Source organism: Homo sapiens, chromosome 14 (genome assembly GCF_000001405.40).
Source record: "Homo sapiens chromosome 14, GRCh38.p14 Primary Assembly".
NCBI lineage: Eukaryota > Metazoa > Chordata > Mammalia > Primates > Hominidae > Homo > Homo sapiens.
The window spans coordinates 106,267,789-106,284,457 of NC_000014.9; the positions used below are offsets into that span (position 1 = coordinate 106,267,789).

At 42.0% G+C, this 16,669-nt stretch overlaps 2 gene segments (V, D, J or C) and 1 further gene; all 3 read right to left on the reverse strand.

Annotated features, from left to right (window-relative positions):
* Positions 1–16,669, reverse strand: part of IGH (immunoglobulin heavy locus) — a 1,293,408-nt gene that overhangs the window by 681,352 nt on the left and 595,387 nt on the right.
* On the reverse strand, positions 818–1,273 carry IGHV3-23 (immunoglobulin heavy variable 3-23). The segment is given in 2 exon segments: positions 818–1,124; positions 1,228–1,273. Coding segments are annotated over 2 exon segments (353 nt in total), but the record flags the coding sequence as incomplete, so codon positions are not given.
* IGHV1-24 (immunoglobulin heavy variable 1-24) lies at positions 8,758–9,195 on the reverse strand. The segment is given in 2 exon segments: positions 8,758–9,064; positions 9,150–9,195. Coding segments are annotated over 2 exon segments (353 nt in total), but the record flags the coding sequence as incomplete, so codon positions are not given.

A 16,669-nucleotide genomic window follows, 5' to 3' on the forward strand; every position in this document is an offset into this window, starting at 1 on the left:
CCCTTCAGTATTAATGGTCAACTGCATTCCCAGATGAGCCTACACACAACACAGTGGAGGGTCCTGAGAAAATGGGGAGAGAAGGAAGTCCCATCAGCCTCTCCCACGTGGCTGCAGGAGCCACAGCCTGAGCCCCACCTGAGCTCCAAGAAAATGCCTTGAGCCCTGGAATGTGGACCAAGGGGACCATCTGTTTCTTTTTCAGGAAACAGGAAAAGCAAATAAAAAAGGGAGAAGAAACTCTCCAAAGAAAGAACATGGATTGGGAGCAAAAGGAGCACCAGGTCAGTGCTGATGCTGATTGGCTTTAGTGTCAGGAGAAGGGTCAGACGTGGAACCTGTGAGGTTCTACATGACTCTGGCCCTGGCCCATCCTCTCTGTTAGATGTGATCAAAACTCATAAAGGCTGTCCCTGAGGTTTCTGTCCCAGGACTGATTGCGGAAGAGTCACCAGGCACCCCTGAGTTTCCTCAGGACTCTCATCCTGGTGACCATGGTTGAGAACTTTTCATCTCTGTAAGCGTCAATCTGCATTTGGTGCGTGTGAGAATAGGTGCTCATATTAAAATGATCTTTTAAAAAATACGTAGAGATGACATTAGTAAGCACAGAATTCTGAGGTTAGAGAGGTTCACTAGAGAAACTGTCAGAAGAAGATGAAGTCCCACACCCTGACAGGAAACAGCCTCCATCTGCACCTGCCTCTGGGGATGACTCTGATCAGCGGGTCCTGAGCGCCCCCTGCCGCTGATTTCCCCCCCATCGTTCCTGCAGGGAGGTTTGTGTCTGGGCTCACAATGACTTCCCCTCACTGTGTCTTTCGCACAGTAATATACGGCCGTGTCCTCGGCTCTCAGGCTGTTCATTTGCAGATACAGCGTGTTCTTGGAATTGTCTCTGGAGATGGTGAACCGGCCCTTCACGGAGTCTGCGTAGTATGTGCTACCACCACTACCACTAATAGCTGAGACCCACTCCAGCCCCTTCCCTGGAGCCTGGCGGACCCAGCTCATGGCATAGCTGCTAAAGGTGAATCCAGAGGCTGCACAGGAGAGTCTCAGGGACCCCCCAGGCTGTACCAAGCCTCCCCCAGACTCCACCAGCTGCACCTCACACTGGACACCTGCAAACAAAAAGAAACCCTGGTCAGAAACTGCCACACGTATCCACTGTTTCTCTCACTCTTATCCATTCACACTCAATTTTTCTATTTCTCCATGAATTACCTTTTAAAATAGCCACAAGAAAAAGCCAGCTCAGCCCAAACTCCATGGTGAGTTCTCTCTGTTCAGTCCTGATCACCAAATGAAAACACCTGAAAATCCCAGGGCTGGGCTCCTCTCTCAGAGCTGCAGGGTCAGGGCTGGGCTGGTTTTCATCAGCAGACGGAGGGCTCTATTTGCATATCTCCTACTATATAGTAAGCTCTGGGGTGAGAGGCCTTTGGAGATAGTGGGGCTCAGAGCATGTCAGAATGTCCTCGGGGAGATCTGTGATATTGAAAGCATTGGGAAATTGTGCTTTCCTATTGTCAGTTTGTTTTGTGATAAACTTAAACCTTAAAACCTAAAAATCTTATAATTTTGTAATTTTTATTTTAAAACAGTTTTATTGAGGTACCATAGATCTACATAAACTGCATATTTTTAAAGTTAGCACCAATCATCTTTTATTTTTACATACGCAGAGAAACCATGGTATATAGTATCAATATTATTTCCATGTTAAAGATGAAAAATTATCAGCAAAAGCACAGGTGGGTTTTACAATGTCCCCAGTGCTCACATTTGGTCAGAGTGAGCCTGGGCATCTGGGCCTGTGCTTCTCACCACTGGACCTGACTTCTCCCTGAACCAAGCCCAGCACACAGGGGTCACAGCTCGTGAGGTTCGCAGAACCTTTTCTCTGTAATGGGAACATGGTGTGATGTGTACACACTGTGGTGATTACCTAACAAATATAAAGAAAAGCAAGTTTCCTACAGTTTTATTTTCTTGAGTGTCATACATTTCTCATGTTGGTATCTATCTTTCCATCAATCTTTAACAAATTATCCACTTATTTGTAATACCCTTATTGAGGCATTATTGCTATATAATAAATACTGCATAATTGAAGTGTGCGGTTTAATACGCACTGAAGCCGAGCATGGTGGTGCACCCCTGTAGTCCCAGCTACATAGGGCAGAGGGAGGAGGATTGCTGGAGACCCAGGGTCTGAGGCTGCAGAGAGCTATGATCTCACCACGGAGCTCCAGCCTGGACGACAAAGCAAAACCATGTCTCCGAAGGAAAAAAAACATAATTTCACGTGTGCTCACCTGTGTATCCAAAATAACAATCGAGATAACGATGATTACAGTTAAAAGCCTCCCTGTGTTCCTCTCATTCCTGCCTCCCCATTATTTCCCTCTCACCATACTGAGTCAACCTCTCATCTTTGTTAATTCAGATCTATTTTTCAAGATTTTGTTAAAGTGAAATCTTATATTTTCAATTTCATTTGTGTGGCTTCTTGCTCAGTATAATTACTTGGGAGTCAGTAATTTGGTTGTGTATAAAGAATGTGTTGATTCTAATGAGGAACAGTATTCCAGTTAAAGAATTCACCCATAGTATTTATTTAGAAAGCTCCTTAATATGTGTGTTATTTGCAGTTTCTGAGTATTACAAATAAAGCTTCTACTCAGCCTGGAGATGTAGGCATGCTATAACAAATATATTATTTTTACTAAAACAACTAATTTTAGTAAGCTGCAAATTAGCACATTTTCTTTAGTACACCAGATTATTGATGTTATAGTATAATCAAGAGACCTTACATCTTGTGAAATTCAGTGACTTGCAGGAACAAACAGGAAGAGAATATGACCTTATCTGGGGGAGAGGCCAGCAAATGTCACATAAGCTAATACAAAATTAAATTAGATATATTCATTGGATTGTTTAAAATTTAGTATTATAAAGAAGTTATTGTTTAAATTCTCAGCGGACATACAACTGAGAGATTCCTATTGCTATTGAAAACTTTTCTCCCAGGATTGAGGACACATCAGAAAAATCTCCAACCTCTTCCTCCCGAGACGGTTCTGTGTGGGGAAGTGGAACAGCAGCTGTGGCTGAAATGCATCCAGACCCAGCTCCCTCACCACCACTACATGACCAAAGAATTAACATGCAGGGGCAAAGCCACTGACAGCTCTGTGTTACAGGCACTGGAGGAACTCGTAGAAACTGGGGTAGAAGAAAGAAAAGCTCCAAAGCTCTGTCCATTCTTTCAGGAATAACAGCCTCATCTCCCACCTCCTCTCTCTTCCCTCAGGAATAACAGACTCATCTGCTGGGAAGGGCAGAAAAGAGGAAGCTGAAGACATCAGTGGGAAGACATAGTGGCTGCTGGGAGAAGATTGGGGAAAGAACAAGGAGACCCTCTACCCAGGAATGGGAGGAAGATGCATGGATCAGCATCACACCTGCAGGAAGGGCAGGGATACTTGGAAGGACACACCCTGAGCCAGGACTGCCATGTCTGCCTGCAGTATGGCTCCCTCAGAAGGACAGAGAGTGCCCGTTCAGTGCGACCCTTCCCACCATATTGACAATCATCAGGTCCATGTGGCTCTGGCCTGACCTAGGGGAGATGAAAGACAGAGTCTGTCTGGAGAGCACAAGACTAAGGCCCAAAGCCAAGCAGGAAACAAAATTAAGGTGTCATTGGAGTAATCTGAGTGACTGGTGGCTGCAGAGGAAACCCACTGCAATTCAGGCAGCCACTGCGACAATTACTTGCAAATGTAGCCCTGACTAGTTTCACACAATTTTCTACGATAAAGGCCAAGAAAATATAGGGTGTGATCATCTACAATAAAATGCAAAAATCATAAAGCAAGTAATTAGCTGATATAATGAATCTGATAGAAGTATCTGCAGAAGATAAATTTTGAAATAACTTGCTTAAATACTTTGAAACATTTACACTTGATCCCATTGTTAGTCTATGCATAACTTCATAAGAATTTTCCAACATGTGTTATAACTAATACTAATATTACTAATACTATATTAATATAATGCTTTTAACAAAAACCACAGAGTAGGTTCTGTTAGAACTACTGATGAAAAAGCAACCTTGCAAAATATTTAGAGAGATTTATTCTGAGGCGAATGTGAGGACCATGAACTGTGAACAGCCCCAGAAGATCTTGAGAACATGTGCCCAAAGTGGCTTGATGGTAGCTTAAATTTAGTGTACTAGAGAGACAGTCACCAAACAATACATGTGAGATATATGTTGATTTGGTCCATAAAGACAAAACAGCTAGAAGTGAGGCAGTGTGGGGCGGGGATTACAACTTACAGTGAGTTCGAATATTTTCTGATTGACAATTGATTGAAAGATTTAAGCTTTTTTCTAAAGACCTGAAACCGGTAGAAAAATGTTTCTAGGTTAAGATAACAGGTTTTGGAGAACAAGATTCTTACTATGTAGATGAAGTCTCTTATGTGACCACCTTTAGAGGCAATAGCTGGGAAATGTTTTCTCCTAAGACCTTTAAAAGAAGCTAGACCCTCAGCTAATCTCCTCGGTATAAGAAAAAGACCTGGAAAGGGAAGGAGATTCTCTACAGAATGTAAATCTCTCTCACAAAAGATAACTGTGCCTGGCTATTTTAAAATATGTCAAAGGAATATATTTTAGGGTAAAAGCCTTTGATTCCTTTCAATGCCTGCTCTCTGTCCTGTGATGATATTCTCGAGTAAGGTTAGAATTTGGTATCTTACTGCTACAAATAATCTGTTTTCTGAGCCTTAAGCTCTGTTTTCATAAAAATGCTGGTTAGTTGTGCTTGAATTCCAAAGGGAGGAGGGTATAATGAGGCATTTCTGATCCTCTATTTCTAACACGGCCGGAGCTAGGTTTAAAAGTGTCTCTGGAACTCCTTGGTCAAGAGGAAGGGTCCATCTGGTCAGGTAGATGCTTAGAATTCTACTTTTAGTTTCTAGGACAGATACGAGACTTATCTTAGTCAGGGGTATCAGAAAATACTTACTGAGGTAATCACAGTGAAGTTGAGACTTGAAAGATGGTCCCAGATTCCTCCCTGCAAACCTTTTCTCGTGACATGAGAAGAAGAAAACTTACAAGACACAAATATTACTATTTCTTCTATGTTCAAAATCGTCACCCATTAAGAAAATATTTAAACTAGGGAGACTTATCTTTAGAAACAAGCAGCCTAGTTGATTTCTAAAGTCCTTTACAAACCCACAGATTCTGATTAGTTTACAGATCATGCAGCACATCCCATCTAATGGGAATCTGCAATTAGCTGGATTCCACTGCATTGGTGTTTTTTAATGTTTGATTTATATAGATACACAATATTTCAAAATATTTAGGTGGTACAACTGATATTTTGATAAAAGCATTTTATGTGCAGTGATCAAATCTGGATAACTAGGATATCCTTCATCTCTATCACTGATTATTTCTTAGTGTTATGAACATTCCAAATCTTATCTTGTAGCTATTCTGAAATATACAATAAATTATTAACTGTAGTTTTCTATGTGCCATTTCGGCATTCCCACCAGCAAGGGGTGAAAGTTCCTGTTTTTCAACTTCCTCATCACCATCTGATATTGTCTACCTTGTAATTTTTACCCATTCTCATAGTTTAGTAGAACTTTTTAAATATTAAACATAAGTACACCTAATGAAAATCAAGTTGATCACTTTTTATGTTTGTTTTTTGGATATGGTTTCTATTCGGGTCTCTGCCCATTTTAAAATTAAATTCTGTGGTTTTGTTGTTCAATTGTAAGTTAATTTGTATATTTGTGATAAAAAACCTTTTCCAAATATTGGATTTGCAAGGAAATCCTCCAAATCTATAGCTTTTCACTCTCATGTAAGGGCTTATTTTCAAAGGCATAGGTTAGTTTATCCGTATACGAAAAGATGATAATTGTAATTCTAAATTCTAAGAATTATTAGAATAATAATGTTGGTTAAATTAATCCCAGTATCTGGTGCTTCACAACTTTTGGTATAACGCCAGTGAGAAAAATTTGTAGAGTATTCTGTGAAGACCAGAAATCAGAAGGTGATAAAGGGACAATTATATTTGAATAATCTGGAGATAGGAAGTGTATTTGGTATTCTTCTCCTTCTATTTCTCTATGAAGATGAAATGGAAAAATGACGTCTCCATGTGAAATGGGACACAAAGTTTTTAAGATGATTCTGAAGGAAAGTTGCTAACACAATCTCTCAGGTGATGTTCCAACACAGGCTGTGGAGGGGATGGTGGCCGCCAGTGGTTGCTGTCAGCCACAGGGTTGGTTGGTGTGGCCATTATTTTGTCCATGAGAGACAGTAGGCTATAATTTACTACATGCAGGTGCATTTCTTAATCTCAGATAAGGGGAGAACATGAGAACACAGAAGACGGGAAATTTGAAGATCTCACTACATCAACCACATTCCACTCAGGAGAACTTCTCACTGAGAGACCGGGGGATACGCAGGGAGTGGAGAGGAGTTTGGGGGATACTATCCATGAAAGAACCAATCCAAGCTCGTCGACCTCCCCATGGAAGGAGAGGTTAAATGTTTGTTCACAGAGAATGGTGGCTTATGTCAGGGTTCCCACAGGATCCAGAAATAGTTTCTAATAACAAACATCATACTATATTTAGAATTGATTTATTTTTTATAATTTATTTTGCCCCTCTAGTCAGCGCCACAGAAGAATGTTCTCAGAATCCTTCCTGATCCTCTGTGAGTTCCTGGTGCAGCTCCTGGAGGAAAAGGCTGTGTGGGAGGGAGCCCTCCTCATGTGAAGCCCTGAGGCAGTCCTGTCACCTCACCCACCACTGCCCTTCAGTCACTTCCTGAACACTTATGAGTTAACCTTCCTGAAACGTGGCATTTGGCAGTGCTTTCCCAGGTAATAAAATACTTCCGTTCTGTTTATCCTTGCAGGCCCCTGTCCGTTTCTGGAGCACGGGTTGCAGCTGAGTGTGTGGTAGTGGATAATCAGTGGGAGGAGGTTTGTGTGCATCTTGTCATCTTCCAGAGTGCACCCCTCATGGGGTTGACACTGACAAGCACGCAGATGGGCTTGCTCAGCTGGAAGATGACAGGCATTTTTGTAACCTTTGACCCCAGGAAGGCTCTCCCACTGCAAGACCAATCAGGCTTAAGCCTCTGGCTAAAGTGCAGCCAGCAAAGGGTACAGTGCCCAACCCTGAGAGCTCCTTCCAGGTGCCAAACCACTTTGTAAAGGAAGCTTTTTTCCTGCATGGATCCCATGGATGTGTCTGCATTTTCTGCACAAAGGGCTTTATCCAGAAACACCCCCCAAGAGCTTACAATGTTTTGAATCCAACTGTAGGGCATTATTCACGAAGGCCCTCATGACCAAAGTCTCCACTTCTCATTAAAGGACATTAATTATGGGATTCACCAGAAGCTGCTGGCTTTCCAAGGTACAGACCTGCCTCTACACCAGTGTCCCCAACCATTTTGGCACCAGGGAACAGTTTGGTAGAAGAGAATTTTTCCATGGATGATGGCGGCGGGTGGTTTTGGGATGAACTTGTTCCCCCTGCAATCGTCAGGCATTAGATTCTCATAGGGAGCGCTCAGTCTAGGCCCCTTGTATGTGCAGGTCACAATAGAATTCGATGAATGCAGCAAACCAACATAGCACATGTATACCTATGTAACAAACCTGTACGTTATGCACATGTACCCTAGAATTAAAGTATATATATAAAAAAAGTGAATTCGGCTTGTAGGAGAATCTAATGCACAGCTGATCCGACAGGAGACAGAGCTCAGGCAGCGATGCTGGCTCGCCCCCACTCATCTCCAGCTGTGTGGCCCGGTTCCTAACGCACTGCACACCTTAACGGATCCACAGCACGGGGACTGGGGACCCCCGCTGTAAACACTGGGAAACCTTACCATTGGGGAAGAGGCATATAAAACCAGGAGAAAGAGGAGCTCCATGTAAATGTACATTTTATGGATCCTTGAGGAAAGAGTGCAAAGAGGAATGGTCCCACCCACTTTCCTTCTACCTGGCATCATTCCCAGTAACCCACTTGAAGAATCCACTTGAACCTGGGGTGCTTCAAGATAGTTGAGGCTTGTTATACCAGGGACCACCAGAAAAGGAAACAACCAATGTGTCTGTGGAGATTCATCCTCTGTAACCGATTTATGACACTGGTGCAGGGTGTTGATAGCAGAGAAGGCTGAGCGTCGGGGGGCAGGAGTGCATGGGAACTCTGTTTCTTCTACTCAAACTTGTTGTGATCCTAAAACTCCTTTAAAATAAATTCAGTGTAAAAGGAAGGGCAAAGACATTTTGGAAGAAATTTCGGCCACTTCTTGGAAATTATATTTAGTCTTACCATGAGATCAAGCAATCCTGTTTCTAATGATTTATAGATCCAATTATAAAATGTATGTCCCCACAAAGCCCCCATGGGAATGTTTGCATCAGCTTGATTGATGGCTGCCTTTCCCACTCTGTGAGTGTTACTTATAGGGTGACAGTTGAAAATACTATTTCCTACATAATGACAGTGTACACATCTTTCCATTGCTGTTTTACTCAATTACTCAACCCATTTTCTAAACAGATTTAAACTTCATAAATCCTGTCATCTCCTCAGCCTCAGCACAGCTGCCTCATTCCTCAGGGTTTCTGACGCTCTCAGGATGTGGGTTTTCACACTGTGTCTGTTGCACAGTAATACACGGCCGTGTCCTCAGATCTCAGGCTGCTCAGCTCCATGTAGGCTGTGTCTGTAGATGTGTCCTCGGTCATGGTGACTCTGCCCTGGAACTTCTGTGCGTAGATTGTTTCACCATCTTCAGGATCAAAACCTCCCATCCACTCAAGCCCTTTTCCAGGAGCCTGTCGCACCCAGTGCATGGATAATTCAGTGAGGGTGTATCCGGAAACCTTGCAGGAGACCTTCACTGAGGCCCCAGGCTTCTTCACCTCAGCCCCAGACTGTACCAGCTGGACCTGGGCGTGGGTGCCTGTGGAGAGGACAGAGGAGTGGATGAGACACCACTTAACTGGACCCAGTCCCCTCATCAGCCCTGGAACTAAGGATTCTCTTGCCTGTAGCTGCTGCCACCAAGAAGAGGATCCTCCAGGTGCAGTCCATGGTGAGGTGCTGCGCTCTGGGGGCTTCTGTAGGGGAGGGATGTGGCTGTTGTGTGATGGTCTCTGGGCAAGGAAAGATCTGTATTTACCTCGGTAGACAGCAGTGCATTTGCATATTCATGAGGCAGGTTTTTCATAGCTCAGGCCACGCCACCCTGAGGAAGAAGATAGGTGACATGTGGACCACGCCACAGTGGGATGCTGAGCTCCCTGCCCTGAACTTTGTTTAATATTTGTCCTCTGACATGCCCAGAAGTCCATGAAGACAGAACTCCTCTCACAGAAACCCAGAATCTCACAGGACATGGTCCTCAATGTGATTCCCTGTTCATATGGCTCACTGTCTACCTGAACTTTTCCTGAGCCTTGCCCTCTGCACATCTAACTTCTGGGATGAGTGTGTCTCCGGACAGTAACACCCATTGAATTAATAAAACCACCCCTCAATTCCTAACTAGAAATACATTTGAAAGACCTAGACATTTCTCCTTTTAAATCCGGTTTGCATTAAATTATTGGGTTAGGTATAGGCTGCGTATACAATAAAATACTTACAGGCACATCAGTACTTGCTAAATTCTTATTTAAATGTTAGGTCATTATTGCTTTGAAATAAGGAACATTCAATTCCTGAGAGAAAACCCTGCCCCAGCCTCCTGTGCACCTGCCCCAGGGCTGGGTCCTGTGCTGGGTGCTCCCTGAGCGCCCCCTGCCGCTCAGCTCCTGCCCTGCAGGGAAGTTCCTGTCTGGGAACTTTTTCCTCCTGTCAGAGAACTTTTTCCTCCCAGAATCTCAAGCTCAGTAGGAAGGGGCTGTGCCCTGGCTCAGAATGCTCTTTCAGTGACAGAAATTGTTTCCCCCACCACCTCTTACAATAGAAAATAGGCCTTAGAAAACCCAACATAATCTACAGGGAGACCTCAGCACGGCAAGCAAGGAATCATAAAAGCCATCAGGGAGCCCCTTCCCTGGAGCTCCGGATCCACTGATACGGTCCAGACACATGGCGAGTCCAGGAACTGATGGGACTTTGGGGAAGGCTCTTTTTTTTAGGATTCTGTGGTTGAAGATTTTATCGATTATAACTTTACCCACAGACCCTATGTCTCAAAGCTCACCACCACACACACTCACAGTGGCATATTTGCATAGTAACTGGCCTCGAATTTGCCCTCCTTCTTAGTGTCTTGCCAGTGAAAAGTGCTTCCAACACTGATCCTAGTCCTGGTTATGTTTGTTGTGGTTTTGCTTTTTCCAAACAGCTAAAGCGAGCTAGGTACTAATGGAGATTTGGAAAGTGCCTTCATGTTCTCTTTGCCAGTTCTCACCTGCGCACCCTGCAGATGCCCCATGAGAGGTAAATCTAATTTCAGTGAGGGAGAGGATGTGACCTTGTTCCTGAAGCTGTTGGTCTAAGAGGTTTTAAGTCACTTTACTGTCCTTGACTTTTTCTCTCCCACTGCCTTTGGTTTCCCTAAATTCTAGTCCTTAGATGGAGTCTGTGCCTTTCCACACTTTTCTCTTTAATCCAGATTAATCATATTGGTGGTGAGGTGATGTGGTGGGTAGGGGAGCAGTATATGTTCTGGAAATTGAATTCCAATGATTTCTTGCTATTCTTTCTCTAGGCTGTACCATTTACAAGGAGTATTCAGTGGTACAGCTGATTTTCCTCCGTCCTCCACTCCCCCTCCTGGCTGCAGCATCCACAGATTATTTTCTTGAATCTGACCCCAGATGTTTTATTAATTATACTCCTTTTCATGACTCAGGAAGGCTAAGATGAAGCTGTCTGGGATGGAAAAGAATCCCTTCCCCTCACAGAATAAAGATCTTGAAAAGTATTTTTTCCCTATAGGGTCTGTCTGGAGGAAGTTCTGGGCATACTTATCAGAGTATAGTTCTCCTGATGACAGAGCCATGAGGGAATCTGTTTGGATTCTCATCTTGAGAACCCAGAAGTTTCTGGAGGGAAATTCCATCAGAGTGGGGTGTGCAGCCCCCAGGACTTCTTACCCTACCCTATCCACACTTGTCTTCCAGGCATTTATGGAATTGCCATATAACTCTTCCCAACAGCTTGTGCTTTCAACGGAAGAATCACCCAGTTTATAAATTTAGAAAGGAGACTTTATTTCTCAGAAAGGGTTGAAGCTGCAGGACGGCCATCTTAACAGGCTGGGAAGGAAAGCCTCCCACAGAGACTGTGAGCAGGCACTTTAAGAGAGGGAAAGATGAGAAACAAATTTGTGCAAATGGATTGGCCGAGTGTACACACTCAGCAGGCTATAGAAGGAGCTATGGATATTCACATGGCGTGGAGGCTCTCATGTCTAATAAGCAAACACACATGATACATGCATTTCAGCTTTGCTTTGGGGTGAGGACTTAAGAACTAAATGAATTACAGCTGGGTCCTGCATATCAAAAGGGCTTTGTGCAGGGGCAGAAAGACACACAGTGCACAGCCTCTGGAAATTGGCCAGGACAAGTCCATGGTCAGTGGTCTCTTCACAGGAGAAAGTTACTGAAATCAGTCTCTTGGCCAATCAAAGCTCTCTTTATGGCTGTGGATCATTCTTGCCAACATTTCTTATCTTTTGTCTTGCTGATAATAGCCATTTTAAGTGGTGTGAGGTGATATGTCATTGTGCTTTTGATTCGAATTCCTCTGACAATTAGTCATCTTGAGGACATTTTTATGCTCTGTTTTTCATGCATGTGTCTTCTGAAAAAAATCTATTCAGGTTTTTGCTCTTTTTATGAGGTCATTTGATATTTGCTATTGAGTTGTATGGATTATTTATACATTTTGATAGAACTTCTTGTCAGATATATAATTGCATGTAGTTTTTTGCTGGGCTTGCTTTTGGGATTAACTTCAAATAAATCATTTCTGAATCAATGACATGAATTATTTTTCCATGTTGTCTATGAGTTTATGGTTTCATGTTATGTTTATTTTTGTTGATTTTTGTATATGGTGTTAGAGAAGGTCTAATTTTATTTATTTTGCATATGGATGTCCAGTTTTTACATCATTTGTTGGGAGACTGTCCTTCCTTCATTGTGTGTCCTTGGGATACAAAATCAGGAAGATACATAATTAAAAAAGAAAACATCAGATGAATATTCTTGGTGAACATAGACCTAAAATTTCTCAACAAAATACTAACAAATAGAATCCAGAAGCACTTTAAAATGTGATACGTCATGATCAAGTAGGCTTTACCCCTGGAAGGCAAGTTTCATTCAACATCCACAATTCAGTAACTGTGATTCTCCATGTAAGCAAAATAAAAGCAAAAAACATATGATTTTCTCAATACATGCTGAGAAAGCTTTTGATGAGATCCAACATTCACTCATAAAAACTCTCAAAAGACTAGGCATCAAAAAATACCTCAAAATAGCCTGGTGCGGGGGCTCACGCCTCTAATCCCAGCACTTTGGGAGGCTGAGGCGGGCGGATCACGAGGTCAGGAGATGGAGACCATCCTGGCTAACGCAGTGAAACCCTGTCTCTACTAAAAATACAAAAAATTAGCTGGGCGTGATGGCGCATGCCCGTAACCATAATCCTAGCTACATGGGAGGCTGAGGCAGGAGAATCGCTTGACCCCGAAAGGCAGAGGTCGCAGTGAGCCGAGATCATGCCATTGGACTCCAGCCTAGGCGACAGAGCGAGACTCCGTCTCAAAAAAAAAAAAAAAAAAACTCAAAATAATAACAGCCATCTATGACAAAACCACACTCAACATTATACTGAGTGAGCAAAAGCTCAAACCCCTTGAGAACTGAAATAAGACAAGGATGCCCTCTCTCACCACTCCTATTGAGCATACTACTGGAAATCCTAGTCAGAGCAACCAGGCAATAGAAAAAATAAAACGGAGCTGATATGGTTTGTATTTGCATCCCCACCCAAATTTCATGTCAAATTGTTATTCCCAGTGTTGGAGGTGGGGACTGGTGAGAGATGATTAGATCATGGGGATGCTTCACCCTCTTTTGTGCTGTTCCCATGACAGAGCCCTCAGGAGATGTGGTTTCCAAGTACTTGGCACCTACCTCCTCTCTCTTCCTGCTCCAGCCATGTAAGACATGATGCTTCCCTTTCTGTCATGACTGTTGGGTTCCTGAGGCCTCCCCAGCCATGCTTCCTGTACAGCCTGCAGAACCATGAGACAATCAAAAATCTTTATAAATTATGCAGTCTCAGGTGTTTCTTTATAGTGTGCAAATAGACTAATACAACATCTAAATGGGAAAAGAAGTAGATATATCTGTCCAAACTGATGATATAATTCTATACATAGAAAATTCTAAAGACTCTGCCAAAATAATTCTAAAATAGATAAACAACTTTGGTAGAGTCTCAGGATACAAACTTAATGTACAAGAATCACTAACATTTCTATACCCAACTATGTCCAAGCTGAGAGTGAAATCAAGAACACAGTCCTATCCCACTTACAATATTCACACACACACAAATGAAATGCCTGGAAATACAGGTAACAAACAAGGTGAAAGATCTCTACAAGGAGAACTACAAAACACAGCATAAATAAATAAATAAATCATACATGACACAAATAAATGGGAAAACATTTCATGCTTATGGATTAGAAGAAGGAATATTGTAAAAATTATCACACTGTCTAAAGCAATTTAGAGATTCAGTACTATTTACATAAAACTATCAACATCATTGATCACAGAATTAGAAAAAATAATCTATTCTAAAATTTGTATGGAACCAAAAAAGACCCTGAATAGCCAAAGCAATGCTAAGCAAAAAGAAGAACGCCAGAGGCATCATGATACCCAACTTTAAGCTACACCATAATGACATGGTAACAAAAACAGCTTGGTACTGGTACAAGAGCAGATATGCAGAAGAAACGGAACAAAATAGGAAACAGAAATAAAGCTGCACACCTAAACCGTCTGATACTTCATAAGGCTGACAAAAACAAACAATGTGGAAAAAATACTCTGTGTTCAGTAAATGGTGCTGGGATAACTGGATTCTGGCAGATATGCAGAATGCAAGAGTGAAGGAGGCTGGGCAGTTTCTACCTAGATTTCAGAAGATGTGTAGAGAACCCTATGTGCCCAGGAGGAAGCTTGCTACAGGACTGGATCCACCACAAACAACCTCTACGAAGGCAGTACCAAAGATGGGGAAAGATGGGGTTGGAACCCCATTCAGAGTCCCCACTAGGGCACTTCACAGTGGAGCTACAGAAATGCAGCCACAACCCTCAAGATCCCAGAATGGTAGATCCAAAGGCAGCTTGTACTCCCAACCTGGAACTACTTCTGGCACTTGACTCTGGCCTGTGTTATTAGCCCCATGGAATGTGCCCAGCCATAAGGATGAGATGCCTGAGGATTTTGGGACCCACTTTGTCCTGGTGTACCCTGACTAAGAACATAAAGTCAAGATAGATTATTTTGTAGCTTTAAGATTTAATATCTGTCCTGCTAGGCTTTAGGTGTGTGTGGGGCCTTTGGCCAATTTATTCCTTTTGTATTGACAATATTTACCCAATGGCAATATTGCACCTTGGAAGTACATAACTCTTTAAAACATTTTGCCAGCACGCAGCTGGAGGGAAATTGCCTTAAGACCCTGGCGAGACTTTGTAATTTTCAGTTGGAGGTTGATCAAGTTAACACTTTTGGGAACTATTTTTAAAAAAGATGATTTTGCAATCTTACAAGGATTTGAGACCAGGGGACACAAGAGTGAAATGCTACAGTTTAGGTGATTGTCCCTTCCAAATCTCACGGTGAAATGTGATCCAAAATATTTGAGGTGGGTCCTAGTAGGAGTTTTTGGATTGTGGGGAAAAGATCCTTCAGGTATGGCTTGGTATCAACCCCATGGTAATTAGTGAATTATTTCTTTATTAGCTAATTTGAAATCTGATTGTTAAAAACAGTCTAGCGACCCTCCTCCCCTCTTCTGTGCCCCCTCTCACCACAGGACACTGCCTGCTTCCCCTTTGCCTTCCACCATGACCGTAAGCTTCCTGAGGCCCTCACAAGAAGCAGATGCTGGTGCCATGCTTCTCACACAGCCTCCAAAACTGTAAGCCAAATAAGCCTCTTTTCTTTGTAAATCACTTGGCCTCAGGCATTAATTTATAGCAATGCACAGTAGACTAATACACTGTCCAAAGCAAGATACATATTCAATGCAATTTTTATCAAGTAACCAATATAATTGATTACATGTTTTAAAAAAAATCCTTAAATATATATGGAATCAAAAAACAGCCTGAATAGCAAAAGAAATCCCAAGGAAAAAGACCAAAGCTGAAAGCACCACATTCCCTGATTTCAAATTATACTACACAGATACAGTAAGAAAGACAGCATGGTACTGCTACTAAAAACAATAACAATAATAATAATGTAAAAGAATAGACAGCCAAGAAATAAAGACAAGTTTCTACAACCACCTGTTCTTTGACAAAACTGACAAAAATATGCAATGGAGAAACAACCCTCTATTCAGTAAGTGGTGCTGAAAAACTTAGACAGCCACACATAGAAGAATAAAACTAGACTTCTAGTTTTTCACCATAGACAAAAATTAATTGAATATGGATTCAATATTTAAATGTACAAACTGAAGAAAATGTAGGAGAAATTTTTCGGGACATTGGCCTAGGCAAATAAAATATGACTAAGACTTCAAAAGCATGGTGTGGTAGGTTTGGTTATTCATTATATTGAAAAATAAAGCTATCATATGCTCTGGTGATCCCACTTCTTGTCATATATTCAAAAGAAATAAAATTATTATGTCAAACACATGTTCACTGCAAGATTATTTATAATAGTGTAGATTTGTAAAATAATTTAATGACCACAGATTGATGAATGTGTAAAGAAAATGTGTACACAGAAAACTGAATTTTATTAGGCTTTGAAAAGAAGGAAATTCTGACATTTGCAACAACAGGGATGGGGCTAGAGGACATGATGCTTAGTGGAATAAGCCAGATGCAGAAAGACTTAATGATCTCATTTACATGTGGGATCTAAAATATTCAAGCTCTTGAAAGCAGAGAGTAGAATAGTGGGTCCCAGGCCTGTGAGGAGAGGGAAATCAGATGATGTCGGTCGAAGGGTAGAGGTCCAGTTGTGCAGGGTGAATGAGTTCTGCAGATCTAATGTACTGCAATGTTCTTGTATTTAATGCTGTATTGTAAATGTGATTTTTGCTAAACGGGTAGATCGTAGGTGTTCTCATGAGACACACACACATACACACACATGTAGTACATTTTAAAAAAATAAAATGGTAGCTCCATGAGAAAATGGATATACAAATTACTTTGGCCATGATGAGCATTTCACAATGTGTATCTGATGTGGTTTGGATCTGTGTCCTGCCCCAAATCTCATGTTGTATTATAATCCTCAATTGTGAAGGTGGGACCTGGTGGGAGATG